This window comes from Homo sapiens, chromosome 1, assembly GCF_000001405.40.
Source record: "Homo sapiens chromosome 1, GRCh38.p14 Primary Assembly".
In the NCBI taxonomy this organism is placed as follows: Eukaryota; Metazoa; Chordata; class Mammalia; order Primates; family Hominidae; genus Homo; species Homo sapiens.
The window spans coordinates 172,526,899-172,550,415 of record NC_000001.11 but is presented as its reverse complement, the minus strand read 5'-3'; the positions used below and the strand labels follow the sequence as shown (position 1 = coordinate 172,550,415).

At 38.0% G+C, this 23,517-nt stretch overlaps 1 protein-coding gene across 8 annotated transcripts in view, besides 4 other annotated features; it reads right to left on the bottom strand.

Moving 5' to 3' along the window:
* Positions 1–18,067, bottom strand: part of SUCO (SUN domain containing ossification factor) — a 79,485-nt gene extending 61,418 nt beyond the window's left edge. For 7 of the 8 annotated variants that reach the window (XR_007060764.1, NM_014283.5, NM_001282751.2 and 4 more), the window contains exon 1: positions 16,919–17,266. Coding sequence is in view for 6 of the 8 variants with exons in the window: in NM_014283.5 (NP_055098.1) it covers positions 16,919–16,980 (62 nt within the window). In the remaining 2 variants the exon portion in view is untranslated. Of the gene's footprint in view, positions 1–16,918; positions 17,267–17,617 lie in introns of those variants that run through there. The other variant, NM_016227.4, reaches the window with a different exon arrangement.
* Positions 16,878–17,037: an enhancer, noted in NCBI's record as "active region_2094". NCBI's record gives its function as "activates an Ori minimal core promoter by ATAC-STARR-seq in GM12878 lymphoblastoid cells {active_cell/tissue: GM12878}" and the evidence as "EXISTENCE:reporter gene assay evidence [ECO:0000049][PMID:35858748]".
* Positions 17,158–17,327: a silencer, noted in NCBI's record as "silent region_1552". NCBI's record gives its function as "represses an Ori minimal core promoter by ATAC-STARR-seq in GM12878 lymphoblastoid cells {active_cell/tissue: GM12878}" and the evidence as "EXISTENCE:reporter gene assay evidence [ECO:0000049][PMID:35858748]".
* Positions 17,648–17,897: an enhancer, noted in NCBI's record as "active region_2093". NCBI's record gives its function as "activates an Ori minimal core promoter by ATAC-STARR-seq in GM12878 lymphoblastoid cells {active_cell/tissue: GM12878}" and the evidence as "EXISTENCE:reporter gene assay evidence [ECO:0000049][PMID:35858748]".
* Positions 17,958–18,067: an enhancer, noted in NCBI's record as "active region_2092". NCBI's record gives its function as "activates an Ori minimal core promoter by ATAC-STARR-seq in GM12878 lymphoblastoid cells {active_cell/tissue: GM12878}" and the evidence as "EXISTENCE:reporter gene assay evidence [ECO:0000049][PMID:35858748]".

Sequence of the window (23,517 nt, the reverse complement as noted above, 5' to 3'; positions counted from 1 at the left end):
AACCATAACAAGGACTCATTTATGATAGAAACAATAACGTGTCCAGATAGAAACTTGGCAAGAAATCTTCTAGTAAGTAGAACTGTTTGAAATTGCCAATATTTGACAATCCTTTTACTTGGAAAAAGTGTCAATTTCACAATTCAAAATAATATATAGGGGTAGTTTGAACTACATACTGAGGTGGTAAAAAGGGAGACTTTTTATATAACAAGCCAGAAATAGTCAAGAATATTCTTATATGAGGGGCTAGATCTATATGAAACTACAGTAATTACAGCAATATGATACTGAGATAACAGAGGCAAAGGAAACCCCCAGGGTGACTAGAAAGACAAATCCCAGGAAGATAGCTGTAAACAAGGAATAGAGGGCAATCAGCCTAGGTTAGTTTATCAGAAGCACCCAAATAACACCAGAAGAAATGGAATGCCTAGGTTTAAAAGACAGACTTTGGGGATTTAATCTTTTCTTAAACCTACTGCTTTCATTTTAGAAACTGTATTTCTATTTTTTTTTTTTTTCCCTGAAGGAAGGTTTTCAACTTGAATGTATGGTGACAAGTTTTTCTTGTTGTGGCAACCTACGATCTTTAATACTTCTAGGCATCCTGCCATTTTAAGGGTGTATGTTACAACTATGTGTCTAAAAAAATAATCGTTAAGTATTAGGGTAAAAGAGAAATCAATTCATTCTTACTAAAAAGAACAGCAGAGGGACTCAGGAAAAATTTTCCAAACAATATAGCAACTGAAGAGCCAAGGAAGATTTCATTAAGAAAGCAGAAAACATTCTTTATTGTGCCAAGGGAAATTTCATTACAGAAGAAAGCATTCTTTAATGTGAAAGTGATTGAGAAAAAAATACCTTTTAAAAATGATATCCAATGGCTTGCAATGACAGCTTTTTATATCTGCCTAATGCAGAATTACTGAACCAGCTATCTTTAACCATTGTTTTTTATCATACTATCAAATCTAGCAAAATAATGCAATAATGAATTCCAGAAAGACACATTAATGTGCAATAAAGAATATACTAATATGCAAATGAGCCAAGCCTAATAATTGCAAAGAAGGAGTCTGCAATTATTAGGCTTGGCTAATAAAACTAAACTGGAGTCTGTCACTTTCAAATGAATTGTTTTCCTCTGAGTTTTAATGAAGAAACTTTACAAGCATGTAAGATTACCCAGTAAGTACCAATTATTATGTTAGGAAACATTAGGGGTAATTTTCAACTCATTTAAAAATTTGAGTAAGTATATACAGTTTTAAGAAAATATGAAAACAACAAAGTAGCCATTTTAATTAACATAGAAACCAAACAAGATGGAAAACATTATGTTATTAAGACAGCGATTTATTATCTATGAGTAAAAAGAAGAAAGAATTACAAATATATATGCACCTAACAATGTAGAAAATATACTACAACCACTGGCAAAGCTACAGGTGGAAAGAGAATAAACAAAAAGTATGGTGGTCTATTTTAAATTACCTCACAAAATAACAGATTAAGTGGACAAAATGATATTTATATTCCATGTAAGAAGCTCAAAGATACAGAATTTTATACCACATATAAATTAAAACATTCTTCTCAAGGACACGTGGAACATTTCCCAAATACCGATAGTAAACTAAAGCCTCAAAAGAAGCCTCAAATTCCAAAAACTCAAGCTCTAAAAGATTATATTCTCCAACCATGCTGCAACAAAATTTGAAATAACAGAAAGACAGCTAACAATATCCCAAGCCTGGAAGCAAGAAATATGTAGCAAAATAATCCTTAGGTTAAAGAGGAAACAATATTATGAAATAATCAGCAGAAGACTACCAATCACAATTGGTGGGATGTAGATAAGACAATAGCAGGAAAACTATGCTTCTGAATACATTGAGACAAATGCTGAAAACAAAAGAGCTAATCAACTCAAAAAGATAAAAGAGAGTACAAATGCAAAGAAACAAGGAAGGATATATGGATAGGCATTGCTAAAATAGAGAACAAAAAACAGCAAAGAAAATTAAGAAAATCAAAAGTTGGTTCTTTGAAGAAAGTATTAGACAAACTTCTGGCAAAACCAATAAAGGGAAGATAGTAATGGGAATTAACACAATATGGAATAAAAAGAAAAAACAACCACAGAGGAAACATTTTTAAAATTATAAAATATTATAAACTATATATAACAATATATTTGAAAACAGGAGAAATGGATAAATTTCTAGAAACATTGCAAAACTGGCATAAGGAATGGAAAAAACTGATAATAGACTGATAAACTTGAATGGATCTATCAACTTCTCACACACAGGAGAAAATTCAAACCGTTTTTAAATTTTTTATTTGGAAATAATTTCAAATTTCAGAAGAGTAGGCAGCATAGTACAAAAAAAAATCTACAAATGCTTTAGCTGTATCAATCCATTGTTAATATTTTACTTAATTTGTTCCATTATTTGTCATTTGCCCATGCTCACTCATCCTTCCTCTCTCCCTCTGTTCCCTCTCTCCCAGTAACTTACCTCTAAAATACTGTGATATCTATTTCCACAGAATAGGGATATTCTCTTGCATAACTACAATACAGGTATCAACTTCAGTAAATGTTACATTGACACAAAAATTTACTGTCCACATTGCAATTTTGTCAATTAATCCAATGTCTTTTTTAGAATTCCTTTCTCCAGTACAGAATTAAATCTATGATCATGTCCTGCATTTGTCATGTCTATTCAGTATCATTTAACTTGGAACAGTTCTGGAGCTTTATTTTATGTGGCACTAACATTTTTGAAGGCTACAGTCCCCTTTCTTTTTAAATAATATGGTTCTTATGTGAGATTTGTCTGATGTATCATGATGACCAGATTCAGATTAGGTATTCTCAGTCAGAATCCTTCATTGTGTCTTTCTCAGGATATTATAATGATGTTGTGACTTTCTCAGGATATTGTATCGAAAAGCATATAATATCCGTTTCAGCAGTTGCAATTCTACTTTTAGGTACTTCTCAACAGCAATGAAAACTATGTCTACAAAAAGCCTTGTACAAGAATGTCCATAGTAGTTTTTACTCCTAATAGCGAAAACCTGGAAGCAGTCCAGATAACCACTAACAGAAGAATAAATAAACTGTAGTACATTCATACAGTGTACTACTACTCAGCAATAAAAAGGAACTAATTAATGACAAAGGAAACAAAATGGGTAAATCTCAGACATTACATTGAGTAAAAGAAGTCAAACACATGAGCTAATACTGTATAACTCCATTTAGATGATGTTCCAGAATTGGCAAAACTAATCCATGGTGACAGAAATCAGATCACTACTTGCCTCTGGGGGATTCACCAGAAAGGGACATGAGAGAACTTTCTAGGGTGATGAGAATATTCTATATCTTGAGGGGGTGTGAGTTACACAGGTGTATGCATGTGTCAAAACTGATCCAACTATACAGTTAAGATCTGTGCATTTCGCTGTACATAATTTATTTTGAGACAGGGTCCCACTCTATCACCCAGGCTGGGGTGCAGTGGTGCAATCTCAGCTCACTGCGGCCTCCCCCTTCCCGGGCTCAAGTGATCCTTCCACCTCAGCCTCCAGAATAGCTGGGACTACATGCAAGCACCAAAATGTCTGGCTAATTTTTGTATTTTTGGAAGAGATGGGGTTTTGCCATGTTGCCCAGGCTAGTCTCGAACTCCTGGGGTCAAGTGATCCACCCGCCTTGGCCTCCCAAAGTGCTGGGATTACAGGTGTGAGCCACTGTGCCTGGCCTATACAGGTTTTATTACTTGTTCAAGATCCTGTAATTAATAAGTGAGGGACCGGGGGTTAAAACTTGGATTTTTTTGACTCTGAAGCCTGCGCCTCTTAGCCACTACTACACGGCCTTCATATTTATCACTTGTTGCCACTACGAAAATCATGAAGTAGTTAATCAGAACTTCTCCTTTGTGATAGTTGTTTTATTTTTGTATTATGCTGTATCTAGCTTTGACCAGTATCACCAATTCTTGAGTGAATGTAACAGTGTTATCTTCTTACCTTTCTTTTCATTTATCTGTTGGCTAGAAAATATTAAACATGAAACGTAGCAATATGGAAAAATCCAACAATTTGGAGAGAGATCTAAGTTTGCAAGGTGAGTGATGGGCAACTTATGAGCTTCAGTTTCCTTATTTGTAAAAATTAGATTAATACTTTAATCCAAGAGTATGGACAAATTTAAGAGGAGATCAGGAGTCAGAGACCAGCCTGGGCAACAAGGCAAAACTCCGTCTCTACAAAACATACAAAAATTAGCCAGGCATGGTGGCGCACACCTCTGGTCCCAGCTACTCAGGAGGCTGAGGTGGAAGGAAAATCACCAGTTCCCAGGGAGGTCAAGGCTGCGGTGAGTGGTGATCATGCTGCTGTACTCCAGACTGGGGGACAGAGCAAGACCCTGCCAGGAAAGAAAGGAAAGGAAAGGAAAGGAAAGGAAGGAAGGAAGGACGGACGGACGGACAGAAGGACGGAAGGCAGGCAGGCCAGCCTATATGCCTCAACTCAGTATCAACATTGTAAAATTGACTTATTAGGAGGAACTGAAATAAATGTATATGCTATGCTTAGCCTGGCACAGAATATGTGCTGAAATGTCAGTTATTATCAGCCACTACCTTTTCTGTCTACTTTCACTTATCAAATTTCACAGTAGTTTATACTTGTAATCTCAATGTTTTCACCTTCTATTTAGTCCTCAGCCTGCTGAAATCTAGTTTCTGTCCTCATTGTACCACTGAGACTAGTATGGTGTGGCAGAAGTTAGCTTTTTTTGATTTCCCTGCTGCATGTGGTACCTCTGACTGCTGTTTTAACTTAAACCATCTCCTCTTTGACTTGTCAAATTACACACTTCTGCTTTTCATCTCACACTGACTCTTGTTTCTGAGTCTCCTTTGATATGCTGCTTCTGTTCACTATTTAAATTCTGATGCTCCAAGGGTTTGGTTCTGAAATCTTCCCTTTATATTCTACATAGGAGACTTACGTACTCTCATGGTTTTTAGTTGACAGCTACTGAAACTTTATCTTCAGCCCTTATCTTTTCCTAACTGGTCCATTCCTTAAAACCCTTCTGTGATACCCTACCTTAATGTTGAGGATAAACAAAGCTCATTTAAAAGTTGCATCTCTCTTCCTTCATATTCCAAGGTATCTCAAAAACATCTAAATCCAAAATTGAATACATTAGCTTCCTTTTCCAAATCTCTTCCTCCTATATCCTTGATCCCACCATCTGGTACTGCTATCTACCCAGTCCTCAAACTAGAAACCTGAAAAACACCTGTGACTACTCCTTTGCCTTCACCCTCCCTTGACCATCTTGTTTATTCTACTCTAAATTTCTTCAAATCATTTCTCAATCCCCATTCTGACTGCCTTAACTCAAGCCCTTATCTCTTACCTAGAGCAACCTCCTAACAGATCTCCCTAATTCCTAACTTGCTACGTCTGCAAATCAACCATTCACACCTCTGCCAAAAATCTAACAGTAAATTATCACACTACCATTCCCCTGCTTAAGACCTTTTACAGACTCCATTAACTACATGACAAAACTCAAGCTTCTCTCCACATGCTATTTAAAAATCTCTAAAATTCTACTAAGTCTTCAGCTTCATATTTCCTGTCACTCTCCCTGCCTTTCACTTTATGCTTCAGCGATACAGAGCTACCTGTAATAGTTCCTTGAACACAGACTGTGCTGTCTCATGTCTCTGGCTCATGCTGTTCCCTCTTTCAAGAATGTTCTGTACCTGCTCCCACTCCCACTATCTAAAACATAACTCAATACCTATAATTCTTCTCTCTTGGGGCAAGAAACTAATAAGGGTCTAAAACATTTTCCTGATTTCCACAATCTGGGGTTGGTGGGTGGCCCGCTCTAAATTCCCACAGCCCTTTGGCTATCTCTACCTGAGCACATACACACTGAAATGAAATTAACTGTTTATTTTTGTTTCTCACATAAGACTAAGCAACTCCAAGGCAGAGAATACACTGCCCTGTTGCCAGCATGATGATCTATTGAGCTCCTACTTTGAACTATGAATTAGAAAAGCTTTTTCAGAGCTTTAAAAAGAAGAATGAGAAAACACTTTGTGGTAAAAGAAATAACTAAACTAGGCAACAAAGAATTGCTTCTTAAACATAAATTCAAAGTTAATCCCTTGTACAGAAATATAGTGCCAGCCACTCAATTAGCGCAGTATGGTTAAAGTTATCAGTGAAAATTGTAGTTTTTGAATATTACTTCCTGGATATCTGAAAAAATTTACTGAAATCCTGTAAGTATTGAGAAACTTGTGGGAAATGGGTGAATAATGTGGAAGCCATTTTGGTCAAACACTGGTAATAAAACAAGACCAAAAGATCACCAGGCCTCTAGTGCCTTTGCTTAAGCAACCTAGTTTCTCTCCATCACAATGTTTTATTAAAAGACAGATATTCTTCTAAACCACGTATCAGTCTGGAGCTCTTTTAAGGTTGCTTCTCTTCTGCTTGGTCTATCTGCTAATAGGTAAGAGCATACTGGGCCTCTTTCTCCTTGCAGTTTTTATTCTATTTGGCTGCATCAACAGTCCATAGTCAAATCACGTGCAATTGTACAGCTTAGCTGAGAAAGTTCTATGTTCTAGTGCCTGTTTCTAATTAAACCTTTGCATTTCAGTAGTTCTGACTTTTAACTTCACTCTGATGTAGGATTGGGTCTTAAATTTTCTTAGCTTAATATTCCACATATCAAATTCTATTAGAAAATTGTTTCACTAAACTGGCCCATAATTTCATTGATCCAACATAGAGAAGCACTTAGTAAACAAATGTGATATGTTCTGTTTTTATATCCTACCATTATAACCTACCATTAGAAATTCAGCCAATACAATTTGTCCTCTAAGATGCTGGAAATAATCATGCCCTATACTTGATAATAATATATTTTCAGAAATTGGGTACAGTGTATTTAGCCTCTAAAACACAAGTGACAGTAGTTTTGTTACCTTAATTTTCAATTAGAGACTACAAAAATAGTCCTCAAATAAATTACTACCAGGCCAACAGATCAGTCATGCTCAAACAAAGTCTCTATTAGGAAAAGCAGAAAATAAAGCTACAACAGTAAGTGTGGGTCAGACTGCAGGCATTTAAAAATTATCAAGGTTTAAAGTTTTATCCTTCAAGGAGCCTTTGAAAGATATTTCATCAGGGGACTGACATAATCAAAGCTGCATGTAAGACAAATCCAGTGGCACTGTGTAAAATGGGTTGCAGCATACAAGTATGAAGCTACTCTACATGTTAACTTTTTTTTTTTTATGTACTCTTCTACATCTCCTGGCTACCAAACAAATGTGTGGAATTCATGCCTACCAGCTCTCCAAATATCTTCTATTATTCTCCACTCCCAAAAGCTATCAATCACTTCCCTCTTTTGAAAAGTTTCTCAGTTTTCAAGCTCTCCAAACTTATCTAAGACATTTTATATTGTTGACCACTTAAATGACTTCCTTAAATCTCTTTCCATCCATCCTTTCCAGTTTCCTCCTTTCTTTCAGAGCTTTACTATGCTTGGCACCTTTCTTTATTCTGTTTCAAAAGTCCAATGTTCTCTTTCAAAAATGATTCCCTCTATGACAGCGGTCCCCAACCTTTTGGCACCAGAGACCAGTTTCATGGAAGACTACTTTGCCATGGATGGGGTGGGGGGCCATTAGATTCTCATAAGGAGTACACAACCTAGATCCCTCGCGTGTGTGGTTCATAGTAGGGTTCATGCTCCTATGAGAATCTAATTCTGCTGCTAATCTGACAGGAGGTGGAGCTCAGGCAGTAATGCTCACTCACCTGCTGTTCACCTCCTGTTGTGAGGTCAGGGTCCTAACAGACCACGGAGCAGTACTGGTCCGCAGCCCAGGGGCTGGGGACCTCTGCTTTACGAGGATAACTCCAGCCAACTTTTTTTCTTTTTTTTTGAGACGGAGTTTCGCTCTTGTTGACCAGGCTGGAGTGCAATGGCACGATCTTGGTTCACCGCAACCTCCGTCTCCTAGGTTCAAGTGATTCTCCTGCCTCAGCCTCCCAAGTAGGTGGGATTACAGGCATGCGCTACCATGCCCGGCTAATTTTCTATTTTTTTTAGTAGAGACGGGGTTTCTCCATGTTGGTCAGGCTGGTCTCGAACTCCTGACCTCAGGTGATCCGCCTGCCTCGACCTCCCAAAGTGCTGGGATTACAGGCATAAGCCACCGTGCCTGGCACTCCAGGCCAAATTTTATCTGCATTCAAGTCTGCATTTTTAAGTGCCCATAAAATGTCTCCACTTGGATATTCCATTCACCTCCAACTAACAGCTCCTTCCCCTTCCAAGCCCTTTGCCAACTCTTCCACTTCTTTTTGACCACCACCAATTCTTCTAGTTGCCCAAGTTAAAACAAACAAGCAAACAAACAGAAAACAAACAAAAAATGCTTAACATTTCTTTTCTCATTGAACTTTATTTCACAGATTCATAATTTTAGGCCCTAGAATGTACTCTCAGTGACAGTGTGCTCCAAGAAAGCAGTTACTTTGTTTTGTCCACCAGAATCCTGTATAGGATACAGCACACTGAAGCCTAAGTAAATATCTCTTTGCATTGAGATGGACAACAGAAAGGGGATGTTGAACAGAGTTTGGTTAGAGGCAAACTAAAATCCAGTTATTTAGAATCCTAGCCTAATGCTGTTATCTGCTGCACTGCACTGCACTACTGCCAGCTTGCCAACCTTTCACAAAATTAAATCATTTACCTCCTCAAAAATCTCTATTTATTGTACCCTGTTCTTTATTTCTACTGCCAAGATGAAGTCCTTCTTATGACAAGCCTCAATTACTCCAAGGGCTTTTTAGCCCGGTCATCCCTTGGGATCCAGAAGGGGTTGGATCCAGGATCCGAAGATACCAAAATCTGAGAATGCTCCAGTCTCTTACATAAAATGGCATTTGCATATCACCTATGCATATCCTCCCATATAAATATCTAGAGGTGATTTAAAATATCTAGAGATGATTTAAAACATCTATGCATATCCTTCCATATAAGTATCTAGAGGTGATTTAAAATATCTAGAGGTGATTTAAAACATCTATGCATATCCTCCCATATAATATCTAGAGGTGATTTAAAACCTAACACTATGTAAATGCTATGTAAATAGCTGTTATACAACATTGTTTTTATTTGTATTTTTATTGTTGTATTGTTATTTTTATTGTTTTTAAAATATATTTTCAACCTGAGGTTGGTTGAATCTGTGGATGTGGAAAGCCAATTGTATTCACCCCTCTAAGTCTCCTTCCTCTAAAAACAAATCTAGCACAATTATGTCAAAATAATGTTCTCACAACACCACTTTTCTTGCTGAATCTTTATTATCTAATTCTTTGGACTGGTTTGCAAAATCTACCACAATCTCTGAAATCTCTCTCTTTCTCCTCAGGCTTTTCTGTTTACTACCACTCTTACCCATATCAACTAGATTATCTCTTCCATTCATAACTCTCTTTCTCCTTGACAATTAAGTGCCATCTACCCACTGCAAGCAGGCAGACAGACATACACATGCACACACAAAGAAATAGCCATTATTCATGTTATCAACACCAGTACATCTTATTTCAGCTCATGAAGCTCCTGTTTGCACAGAAGCAGAGTTTATAAACCACACATTTCCCTTAAACCCAAGTCAAGCCTTCCTTGAGAACTCTAGCCCTCATTTTCTCCTCTTAAGCACTTACTATGCAGTTCAGTTTTATGTGTTGTTTATTAACATTCAAATCAAGTATCTTAGAATGTTAGACATATAAAAAATAAACTGAGTTCACCTAATACAGTAATACAGACTTGAATGCATAAAAGAGTATCACAAACTTACTGACAAAATCTACAAGGTAAGAATCCTAGGTATGCGTATTTCTTTTAAAAGTTTCATGAACAATTCCAATGTCCATTCCTTCCTAGGCTAATACAGGCACCCACATTTTCAGATGAAAAAAACTGACACTTTGCCAGATAAAATTATTAACTAGAAAAAGTGAAGAAACTTGCCCAAGACCATCTACCAGCCAACTGGCAGCACAGCATACCGGTTAAGAGAACACAGGCTTAGAACCTGGCCTTCTTAGTTCTGGCTCTGTTGCTTCCTGGCTGTAAGAACTTGGGCAAGCTGTTAAGAACTTAACTTCTTTGTGCCCACCTTTCTTCATCTTTAAAATGGAGTGTCTGCCTTAAAACATCTATACAGAGAATAAAATAATTTAATGCATATTACACTGAATAGTATTTAGTACTTAGAAGAGAAATAATCACTCAATAAATGTTCATATTAACAATGAAAAGAAAGAACTACAACCAAGCTCTGACATAGTTTTATGCCTTTCACACTACACCACTATCTGTATTGTAACAAGCAGCTTATATACAGAGCTCAAGTCTCACAATTCTTCTGTATCCTTCATCACACCAAATACATTGTGAATAATCAAATAATATTTAAGTGGATTTATAAATTCCCATTTTTAACTCTGAAACCTAGGCCATCTTATTTCTACTCAACAAATTACCAAAGTAGCTAGAGTCAATGAATAACTCATACAGTAGTGCTTACTACGAGTGAGGCACTGTTCTTAGCCTTTACATGTTTTTTCTCCAGTAGATTACAAACGCTACATAATAATACAAAATTAGCTTAGTACCTATGAACCGTATTAATGTTACAGAATACTTTCTGATACAGCCAGGTGTCACTTTCATGTAAAATATAAAATAATTTTAACTAGCAATTAATTATAAAGTCCTAAAACCAAATCTTCTTTCAAAAAAACTTGCATTTATTAAACAAATTCATCCCAAAGGATTAACACTCTTATACTGCAAATATTCAAAAGCAATTTCCTATTCCCTTGTGACATGTACAATTTGACTTTTAAATTAGTCTAAAATATGGCCTTGAAAAACATAACATACAACTGGCACTAAAGTATAATCTAAAACATGTAGATAAGTTTCAAGAGATTTCATCTCTTTCCAGTTATGTATAAACTACTAAACAAAAGCATCACGTACATACAGGTGTTTCTATTTGAAGATGACTTGAGAATAATAAAGCACTTAAATTTTTATAAGTTTCCCTTTCATTATAAGCATAAGAATATTAATTATACATATTGATTCTTTTCTCCATTCAGACTGTTGAGAAAAGTGAAAGAGTGATGTACAAGTTCATGAACAAACGAAAAATGAAATAACCAATACTCAAAAGAGCTGATACCTTTTATTTTTTCCATTGCCTGTCAACCCTACTGCCTGCTTCCATTCCAGTATATCCTCAAATGTTTAATAACATAAAGGACCAACATGAAACACGTCATTTGCCGTCTTTTATTGGACACAGTGTTCAAGTGTTATGCAAAGATGTCACACACCTTCTTTCACAGACCTTTTCCTATTAAGTGGCTTCATCTAACTTGTCTGAAGGGATCTGACACTGTATGACCCGACACCTCTTATAAATAAAAATACCAGGTGCTTTCTTCAGAATATATATCCTAGAGCAAAGATAAACTTTTTTTCCTCAGTCTTTCACATTAAGTTCCACTAAAAAAATCATTTTTGTAAAGGTCATCTTTCATTGGTTTATTCAAGGAAAGAAAAAAAAGGCATCAAATGATTTGGAGAAGTGGGATTGTTTTATTATTTTATTTATTTCAAATATTATTCAGAAAAGAAATAGATTCCGTACCTTGAAAGTTTAGAGACAGAAGCAGAAACAAGCAAAAAAATTCCTCCAGATTTCCTGGGGAATTTTCAAAATGTTTTATCGATATGTTTCCAATATGCTCTATTCATCACCTCAAAAAAGAAAAAACAGCTTATATATTGTTCTAGTTTTTAAATTTTTTTCTGCTCACTTATGTATATTAATAGACCAGCAATCATGAGAGAAAAAGCAAAAGGGTACAGAAATGTAATCACAAACCAGGAAATAAACCTCTTAAACTGATAAAAACTGGTCTGACATACTCAGAAAAATTACTACTAAGGACAAAAAGGCCAACATCTTGATTTAGATATCAACTCTCTTCTAGTGGGACCACGACTTAGGACCTCGTGCCTCCAAAGTACGTCCCCTACATTCCACTTTACCCTCCACAGCAATCTAATTAAAAGATCCATGTGACCTCATGCTCCTGTTCTCCAGTTTAAACCACTTCACTTACTCATCCTCTGTCAGGTGGTTAGAATTAGAATTCATCTGCATGATAATCAAATCCTTTCAAAACCTAGCTCTAGCCTCCCTTCCCATCTCTCCTCACATACACTCACGCTCTAGATAACTGGGTAAGTGTTCTCTCTGCCTACAACAAAATTCGCTCATTGTGAACTATCCATCCTGCAGACCATTTTATGGATGAGAGCTGAGGTTCACAGAAGTAACTTGTCCAAAGACATACAGTTAGTGACAGAACCACAAGTAGGATATGAATTCTTCCTTTGCTGTTCCTAAAAACCTTTGTAAGTACCTGTTATATTTGCCAAATGTATGAGACTTGTTTAAATGTCAAGCTCTTCCCGAAAGTCTAAATATAAGCTTCTCCAAGATGATCCTTTGGGGTGAAGGAAGAATAGATTTGTTTAGTTTTAAAAAATAAGTTTTACTAAGATTAATGTAAGGATTCATACAGAAACCCAGGGAAAGAGTGGAAGTCCCACAAACAATGGGTTTTACTTACAGCACACCATGATTCACTGTGGTTTATGTTTCCCCAGTTAGGTAGACTTAGGAATTATTCAGTTTTAACTGAATTGACCCTCACAACATCGGGAAGCAGCTTTTAAAAAAATTACTGCAAAGAATTTAATAATGCAAGCACAGCCAACAAGAAAATGACAGGGCTGACTCCTAAGTAGTTGAAGCTATTCCTCTTCTATACTATGACATAAAATAATCTAGTAGGTCAATCACATAGCTCTCACTAAAAATTATTATTTTAATGAGAACAAAAGGTACCGTTAACAGAAATTATTATTTTTTTCTCATTTTTCTTAAATATCTAACTTGCATTAATTACATACACTAATATACTATTACTATATTGGCACATGTACATAACTTATAGACAATTAAGGTGGATGCACAAGGTTTTACTAATTAAGGGACACACTCAGAATATCCACTAATTATGTTTTTTTCCTCTTTAGGGTGATGCAGCTTTCCCAGTTTGCCCAGGACTGAGGGAGTATGGTATAGGGTATAGGCTGAATAATGCGCCCCCCTCAAAGATGTCTGCATCCTAATCCCTAAATATGTTACCTTACATAGTAAAAGAGATTTTGCAGATGTGATTAAATTAAGGATTATGAGATAGGGAGATTATCCTGGAATGTCTGGCTGGACCCAATGTAATCACAATAGTCCTTATAAGAGGAAGAGGCAGGAGGACCAGTCATTAGTAGACATAAGGACTGAAAAAAGGGTTGGAGTGCTGATGTGAGGAAGGGGCCACAGAATACAGGTGGCCTCTAGAAAAAGATTCTCCCCTCAGAGCCTCCAAAAAGAACGAGCCCAGTTGACATCTTAACTTTATTTAGCCCTGTGAGACATATCTTGGACTTCTCATCCACAGAATTGTAAGGTAATAAATGTGTGTTGTTCAAGCCACTAAATTTGTGTCAATTTGCTACAGCAGGCATAAGAAACTAATGCAGGGAATTCCTAGGTTATGCGACTTCCAGTGTTAAAACCAAGACAAGCTGGTGACCCTCTATCTTGGATTTTCGGTGCTCATAAAAACATCTGGCACAGTAGGTATGAGAACAAAATGTGGTTGAATAATGTTATGATGAAATATTTACATAATACGCTGTTACTGTGTTACAAAGATCTGTCATTTGTATTATTTCATCCTCCTAACAACCCTGTGAAGTATGAATGGATCAATTTCCCCATTCTGAGGATATAACAACTAAGGTTCAAAGAAGTTACATAACAAGTCAAAGAACACATATCTAGTAAATGATGGAGCCACATATATAAAATACAGGCCTCTGACCTATAAAGTACTCAGGAGCCTGTGCTGCCTAGGTTCAAATTTAAGCTCCGAAGCTTAACAGCTGCTTAAACTTAGCCAAGTTAACCTCTCTACTTCCTCACATGTAAAATGCAAAAGGAAGTTAATAATAATACCTATCTTATAGGGTTCTTATAAAGATTAAAGGTGTTATTGTCAAGTAAACATCATGTGTCTGACACACAGCTGTCAGCAAATATTAGCTATCATTGCTCTGTGCTGCAGCTATAGTGCATTTATGCCTAGAATACTCTATACTACTTGATCAAAAATTATAAACTATGCAAAAGGAAAAAACAGCAACAAAAATTAATAATGACATAGATGAAATGGTTTTTCTGTAAACATAATCTAAGGTTAGTACTCAAGGCTACAAGACAAAAGCAGAGGGGAGACATAATCAAGATCTACAAAATTATGATAGTAAACATAACACAGTAATATTGGTAGCATGAGAGGGGAAACCTCAGAAACTAGAATACTGTAGAACAGACATACAGCACTCAATGTACAAAACAGAAACGGATCACAAAATTTTGAGACAATTTGTGAATAACAAAAGAGACAAAAGTGGCTACTAAAAGGCACTCATCAACTCTTGCAAACGTTTTATCTAACCCTAGGACTTGTTGGTAGCCATTTCTGTTAAAGGGAATGAGGTTGTTGGGAAAAGAAATACCACACCAGATTGCAGCAAAAGTTAGAAATCCATTAAGTGCCATTAATTCCAACTTGGCACAAAAGCAGAGGCTTCAAAGAAAAAACATACCCTTTGCCAATCAGCACCAGGTACCACTCCTCTTCCCCAATCTCATTCATCATCATCACCCTTTAAAAAACCCTTTAAGCCTTAATGTCCTATTTTAATGCCTTTTAATCGTTTTGCTAAAGAATAATTAAAATGTCTCTAAATTTGGCAGTCTAAACAAATCTCAAAATATACTAACCCAATAGTTTCTTAAGCTAAAGTTTCTTAAAATGTTCACACTCTTAAACTCTCCACATCCATTTTCCTCACTAGGAGTTAAAAAACTTGACAGAAGTTTATTACTACTACTTTCAATACCAGGCCAACCGATTTGTTCCCTAACAGGGAAATTCATTAGCTCTTCACTAGAGCTAATGATTGAAGGTGAGAAAACATACTGAGGGTTAGCTTAATCAAAAGATAGCCAGAAATTCCCAAAAGAAATAGAAGCAGAGTTAACTTAAATTTACAAATGATTGTAAGAATCACATTCTATTGCTTGATTTCGTTTACACCATCCAATTAAAAAATTAAAAAAAGCCAGAGATACTGGTGTGTTTTTAAACTTGAATGAAAGTGTTCACCTTTTCCTTATTAGCCATTTCAGAAACTTTTGATGATGAATAACATGGTTTAAAGATGGGCAAGACCAAGAAGAAAGAGGAAAGAAAATACACAGTCTACAAATATAACTAGGCAGCCCCAGAAAGAGATGGAAATGAATACAAGCTTCAGTATCTACAAATTTAAATTTAAAATGAGGTGAGTGGATTTATCTCTTACAGGCACTTCTCCGTACCCAACACAGTAAGTAGAAAGGGGAGGATTTTATTAAAAACAGGAGACGGGTATTAAAAGGATTCAGAATGAAAGGTAATAAGTCAATTGTTTTTGTTCTCAAAAACTTCTATCATTCTTCCAATAAAAATCCCTCAGCCAGGCGAGTGTTTTCTCTTCCCCTTGTTTATGTATTATTTTATGTGAGCAACAACTCTACAATTTCAGTGCTTCTGGAATCCATAAGGCATCCATAAAAATGAAAATAGTGTTGGTGCTTTGCAGAAATAAGCAAAACAGGAAACTTAATTTCTATTTTAATATAACAAACAGCAAATCGCCTAGACTGAAGAAGCATCTTTTCAGTCATCAATTGTCACACATCTTTGAAGAAATTCCCTGGGAGGAAAGAATGGCTTTTCCAAGTACGGTGACAGCAGTCCCTCGACTTACAAGCTTTCTCTGCTCCTCAAAAAACTCCAGAAGTGCCTGGGATTAACAGAAACTCCGTAAAACTTAAGGAGTGCTTTAGGGACAAAGCACTCTTCCCGCCTTGAAAATACAGCATTTACCTTCCCGTCACTAAGGGGCATTACCAAAAACTACTACACACACTACATCTAAGACACCCTCTCCACCAAACCAATTGAAAAAGTGCTTCATAACACACATACACACACGCCCCCCAAGTTTCCAAAAACAGCGGCCCGAGTGTACTTGGGATCAAACGCTGTGCGAGAAATGTCCAGGAGAACTACTGCTTATACATTACTCTTACCTTCATGACCACTCACGTTTTAAAATCGCACGTCCGGAACGCATCACATCCGACGTGCTTTATCCCCTTACCACACTAAGAACGCAAAGACTGGCGGCAAATCGGAGCAACTTACTTACCATCAATCTGAACACCCACCCCAAACCCTGCACCGTCTCCAAGGGGTAGAGGAACTGAGTACAAAGGCACTTGGTGGTTCCCTCTACCTTGGCACCTCTCTCTCTCCCACTGAGTCTCTGTAAATTCCAAAATACACCATGAAAATCTCCGCACAGAGCACTACCAGACCAGTCAGATGGAGAGTCGAGAAGTAATCGGTTTGTCCCTTCCACGGGGGCCTTGGAAACCCGGACCCTAAAAGCCAAAATGACCAGGGGGTGTGACCTGGGCTGCTCCCTCCCATTTACTCCCCTCACGGGAACTCCCTTGTCGTCGCGGCTACTCACCAGACCAGAGAGCACAGAAAGAGGCAGGAGACCAGGGCCAAGGCCCGCCGGTGCTTCTTCATCTTCTCCTCCTTCTTCCCCCTGCCAGAAGGCGGCACATCCTCCCGGCAGCCGCCACTGCCGAGGCCAAGATGGAGGAGCCGGAGCAGGAGCGCGAGAATGTGACCGATAGTCCTAAGGGCTATGGCGCTGGCTGAGCGGCTCCTCAGTGGCTCGCGTCCTGGCAGCCCTCTCTGAGGGCCCCACAGAGGCGCGGACAGGGGCGCTTCACAGGACTCCGGGGACCGCCGCCGCTGCAGCCACCGGCTCGTCCACGCCCGCCTCCTGCAGCCGCCACTGCCGCCCCATATCCTCCCCGCCCGCCGGGGGCCTTGCTCCGTGAGGCCAGCGACCAACGGCCGCCGCGTACTCGCCTCTCAACAGCCAATCGCCGGCGGGGCCGCGACACCTCACACACCGCTGAGCTGGAAAGGGACGCGTCACCCAAGTCCCGCGGCGCCCGCACCCCCACCAGCCTCTGCGCAGGCCACGCCCCCTTCGACGTCGCAGGCGGAGAAGCCGGAGGCAGGAGACCACAAAGCGCAGGAGCAGATGCTCTCGCCGCTCCGCCCGCCCCAGGTCCCGCCCACTTGCTGGCTTGCGTTCAGAAAGCCGGGAGGAGCCCAGTGATCCTCAGCATTTCCCCTTACAGTGGACCGCCCTTCGTCCCTCGCGCGCTGAGTCCGCGCAAGGGCCTTTGGGAGTTGTAGTTTGCCTTCCAGAATTCGTTTTTCTCTTTCCCAGTCCCTCCTAGAATCCATGGTTTTGTTAGAGAAGTCTATAGTTTCGCTGCTCACCACGAGACTGATCAGCTTTGGAACTGTTGCACTGTTTTCCTCTTTTGAGCACAGTTCGTGGAATGGCCTAGAATGACGTGTGTGTTGTGAGGGAAGCTGCACCAAGCCCTTTCCCTGTGGCAATGGACTGCCCCATTGAGCTAGATGTTGATTGGTAGATAGAAAGGGGCGTGCCAAGAATCCTCTCATCTGATTGGTTGCAGCGGAAAACCTTTCGCTTTTTCTTCTCTTCAGCAAGAATTTCGCCGCTTGCCGGGTTCCTCACTTTAAGTGTGCTTCGTTGCTTTTCGTTCTGTTGGTTTCGAACTTTGGGTTCTCTGCGATGGAGTCGGAAGGGAGGAGTTGTCCCCATTAGAGGAGCACCCACAGACGCTCCAAGTCCTGGGGTTCACCTAAAGTGGGGAAGGCAGTCGCTTACACTCACCTAAGAAGAGCAAAAAGTGACCACTTCTCAATACTAAGTAACGGGGCAGCATGCCCATTCCAAGTGTTTACGCCGCTGAGGGGACGGAGGCTGCAATGGTCTGTGCCTTGGAACATGGCATAATGTTTAGTGTGAAAAATGTTTAAAGGACGGGTTACTTATTGTTCATGTGGCCGTAGGGAAAAAACCCTCAGTAAAATGCCCACCTAACGCCTAATTTTGAGCCGCGGAATTTCCTTATGAACCTTCTAAGTTGAATTGGATGTTAATTATAGTCCCAAAGAACTGAATGATTTGATCCGCTCTGTGATTCTTGGATATAAGTCAATTTGATGTTAGAGAAATTATACAAAGGGTGATAATTTTTGTTTTAAAGGAGTTCACCCTGAACTGCCTTTTCTGGCAGTAATTAGGTACAGTTCCACTTATCTGCTGATGCCACTCTTAGTATATGACAATAAAATCCTTTCATCTGTCACCTATTGCGGGAAGCAAGTATTTATCTCACCCAAAAACAGTATCAAATGATTAATATGCAAGTTTAAAAGAAAGTAGGGGCAATGAAAGGGTAGGGATAAATTGACATTCTTTACCATGTTGGACACTCTTTTCCTCTTACTCCAGGAACTTTTATTCAGGATAGGAAACAGCTGAGGTATCCCTCAGCTGATCCTCAGTGCATCACAGCCAAAGAAGTTATATTAGAATACGTGCTTATCTCAAATCTAGGAAGTTATCAAGTTACATCTCCTAACCCTCTCATCCCAAACTCACAAACCCATCCACTTATTTTCCACCAAGTCCCTGCAATGATTTTTTGAAACATGCAAGTACAAATAATTTTACTTTTTTCTTTCTCTTTCATTCCTTCCTTGACTGCCTGCCTGCCTTCCTCCCTTCCTTCCTTCCTTCTCCTGCAGTTGGAGCTTTATTAATACCCCCGTGGTAGGCTTTCCATTCACCTAATTATCATCCAATTATTAGCTTTTACTATTTCAATCTATAAATGTTCTTTTCTCTTTTTGCAGCTTCATTTCCATGGTTTCATGTTAAGGTTTAATCCTTCACTACTCCGAGCTTTTTCCATTTTTCTCTTGAGCAATTTTAATTTTCAACTATACTGTTGACTCCTAAACCTATATCCCATCCTCTTTTCAAGTAGTTGCTGGACATATTATTCTATCACTTCCAATTTTACCTGCACAAAATTGAACTCATTTTCCCCATAAATTAGCTTCTTCACGTGACTTTCTATATTTGTGTTGATTCTTTCCTATTCTAAGACTTCAGATGAAATAAATAGAAGTTCCATAGAGCTGACCTTTAAAGAACTGGTAGACATTTTTCCACATATCTGTTAAATATAATGAGAAAAAGAACAGAGAAAATTTTCTTACAACTCAATAGACAAGTATAAGAAAGTGAGTAATAGTTATATAAAATAAAACTAGTATAGATGAATGTCACCATACTTAAAAGTATAACATATGCCAAAAATGGCAAGAAAGAATATAGAAAAAGAGCATGTATAATGTATAATCTTTCATATATAATATTTAATTATATATATAATCTTTTAAGGCTTAGGCTAAGTAACCACTATCAACCACCCCTTAACTATAATACAGTAATTCTCAACCTGGGGCAGACTTCCCCCCAGGGTGAGATTGGCATTGTGTGAACACATTTTTTGCTTGTCACATTGGAGAAGTACTACTGGCATCTAGTGAGTAGAGGCCAGGGATGCTGTTTCACATCCTACGGTGCACAAGAAAGCCCTCCACAACAAAAATTATTTGGCCAAAAAGTCAAAAGTGCCAAGGTTGAGAAACCCTGCTGTAACAGAATCTCCCAATTCAATAAAATCTATAAAGCACTGACCACACACAGGATAACTCGTTTGCCCTGCAGATCCTTGGATTATTCAGCAAGTCACTAGGGCCTAAACTGCACAATGAACATGAGTTCTCCCATTCCTAAAAGGGTGACTAAACCAGAAACTCTGGGCAGCTCAAGTCCCTGCCTTGATAAAGATCAGATACTCTGTTTGCTTATGGTAAAAGAGAACAAGCAGACCTTAGAAAAGGAACCAACCCCTTCTGGCTATCTCGTTTGTTCTTTATCTCATATACAAATCATATTTAAGACACCCAAGAGAACTGTGTTGTCTAAGATGGTGGTATTTCATGAGCAAGCTTTTATGTATTTTGATTTAGTTGAAAAATTACCTGCTCCTTTCAATATTACAAAATGCTGAGATCCTATATGTCTCCAAAGGATCTTAGAGACCAATGACATTTAGATGCTTCCAGAGTAAAAGTCAGTTAAAACAGAAGTTTCCTGGAAATCAGTCAAAGAAAGGTTGGGGAATGGAAAACAGACAAATGGACAATAAAAGAGACTAAATAAGATGGAAAAATGGTGAATGTGGCAATCAGCACTTAACATTTTAACCGCATAAAAAGTATAAACAGAACTTTTAAAACTGTCCCCCCGATCATCTTCTTTATATATATAAATATGTGTGTAGAATAGCATATACCTTCTTTATTTAGTTACTACCTACCTGAAAAGAGCCTTAACTACTTAGCCTAATCTACCTTAACAGAGCACTGGTAATTTGGCCACTTCAGGAGGTAAAGGTAGAAATCAGAAGAAGACATAGATTGCTTTATTAGTACAGTCTGAGAACTCAGTCTCTTGAGGGCGGGAAGATCTGAGGGCGGGAAGATCACAGAGTGCAATGTTGGCATGCACGGTTCTGTTTTTACTGCAAATAACAAAAGGTAAGATTTCCCTTTTTAAAAATTCTACTTTGTGATCCCAAATTCAGTCTTCTATCACTGCGTTAACATATGTTTATTTTGAAGATACATGAATTGAATAGGCTCATAATGGAATCAACTAGAGGAAGGGAATGATTACATGTGGGTGACAGAGAAGGAGACATCAAAGATGGTCCAATTTCTAAGAACGTATGTGCCATTATATGAGTAGGAAAGTCAGGAGTTGCAGATTTACAATTTAAGAGACTAGTATGGTTTTGGAAGCACAGTATTGAGGTTCTGGTGGAAGTATCTAGCAAGAATTTACAAGTACAAGATTCAAAATAGGGAGAGAAAGTAGCAACTGAAGCAGCATGTTGGGGATTGTAACTGATGCGTCCTTTAGTACCTCCTGTATAACGCTCTCAGATGAAGCTTCCTAAAACATTATCTTCATCATGTCCTTTCTTTGATGCAAAAATCTCCTACAGGTCTGACGTATTTGTGAAATAAAGTCCTGCCTCCTTGGCCTGGCATTCAAAGCTTTCCATAATCAAACCCAGTTGATGTAGTTCAAGCTTTATTTCCCACTGTTTTCTTTCATAACTCAACCTTCTCACCAGACCACACTGTTTATTATGACCTGAAACACCTGTGCCTGCCCTCATGACACTGTTTTTATTTAATAGTCATTTGTCTCCCCAAGCAGTGAATAAATTCCTTATTGCAGAGAGGTCATGTGTTTTATTGATATATATCACACAGTGACTTTTTTTATTACAGAGGCCCAAGAAATAATTTTTTACTTTTTACTTATTTCTTTGTCTAATCACCTTAAATTACAATTTGCCTTATAATTTAAATTCCTAGAAGTAGCAAGCCCTTAGGATGAGAACGTTTTATGCAGTTGACTAGTCTAGAGCACCTAGCCAACTATTTCTTTCTCTATAAATTACCAAATTAGCTTTTTAGCATAACATTATTTGACTTATGTCTGAATAGATTTTCCTAGGTTCTAGTTACCCTAAGTAACCTGGAGAAATAAAGTGTTCAGTAAATATTTATTGAGCCTTTTTTGTATTAAAGATGCTGAGACAGAAATTTGCTCCAGGAAAAGTTTAGCGTTCTAGCAGGGAGTCTTAATCTTCTGAACTGAACCCTTTTGGTAGTCTGGTAAAACCCTTTTCAGAATGTTTATAAAGGTATAAAATAAAACACATAGATTACCAAGGAAACTAATTGTAGGGAAATACAGTTATTAAAATATTACAAAGCAAATTTGTGATCTAATAAGGTGTGCTTTTTCATTAATGCATAAATAACAAGGTCTAACAGCAGGTCTCCTAATGTCAATAATTCCAAAATGGTGATGAGTATAAGAGACATTCCAAGATACCTACAATATGCATAATGTGATATGAAAACATCTGTGATTAATATTGGTGACAAAGTTGTAGATACAGCCAGTACTACCACAGTTTGTTACCTACATTCACAATAAAATCAAATTCTAAATTTCAGTAGAGGTTAGGAGAATGGAGATATAATTATTATTCCCTCCATGGACCTGTGAATTATATACATGGATCCCAACTAAGAAGTCCTGCAAAAGAGCAATGTTTTTTAAACTGTGGGGTCACAATTCATTAGAGAGTCAAGAAATGAATCTTGAGGGAATCCAGCAGCACTTTTTAAAAACTAAAAGACAATAATTTAGAAAATATCAGAGTGTGTCTCAGCAAGAGGAAGTATTTTTGTGGGGCAATCTTATTTCAGTAATATATGTGATGTGTGTATACGTGTGTGTGTACTGTTATATACATATATGCATACTAGGTTGCAATGTAAAATATATGTCTGGGATTTTTTTGTTTTGTTTGTTTTTTGTTTGTTTGTTTGTTTGTTTGTTTTGAGACAGATTCTTGCTCTGTCACCCAGGCTGCAGTGCAGTGGCACGATCTTGGCTCACTGCAACCTCTGCCTCCCAGGTTCAAGCAATTCTCCTGCCTCAGCCTCCGGAGTAGCTGGCAGGAGTAGCTTACAGGTACACATCACCACGCCTGGCAAATTTTTGTATTTTTAGTACAGACAGGGTTTTGCCATGTTGGCCAGGCTGGTCTTGAACTCCTGACCTCAAGTGATCTGCCTGCCTCTACCTCCCAAAGTGCTGGGATTACAGGAGTGAGCCACCACTCCCTGCCAAATATATGTCTTAAAGTGAGTTACAGTCAAAATAATGTGAAAGCCACTGCTCTAGGGGAAATGAAATACATAAGATATATGGAATAAATGCCTCAAATAATATGAATTGTGAGTATCACAAGATTTTAGAGGAAAAGGAAATTACCTTTTTGTGAGGAAATTATCAAAGACTTAAAAGAGGCAGATATAATGTGGTTCTTTAAAAATGAGTATGATTTTCATAGAGATATGAAGAGAAGGTATTTCAGCTATAGGGAACAGTAAGCACTAGAATCGAATTCAAAACTATTTTACAACCCTTATGTGCCTTCTAATTTTGTCTAAAAGTGTCAATAACTTGACACTTATTTGGTATTCTGTGTTTGAAATAGT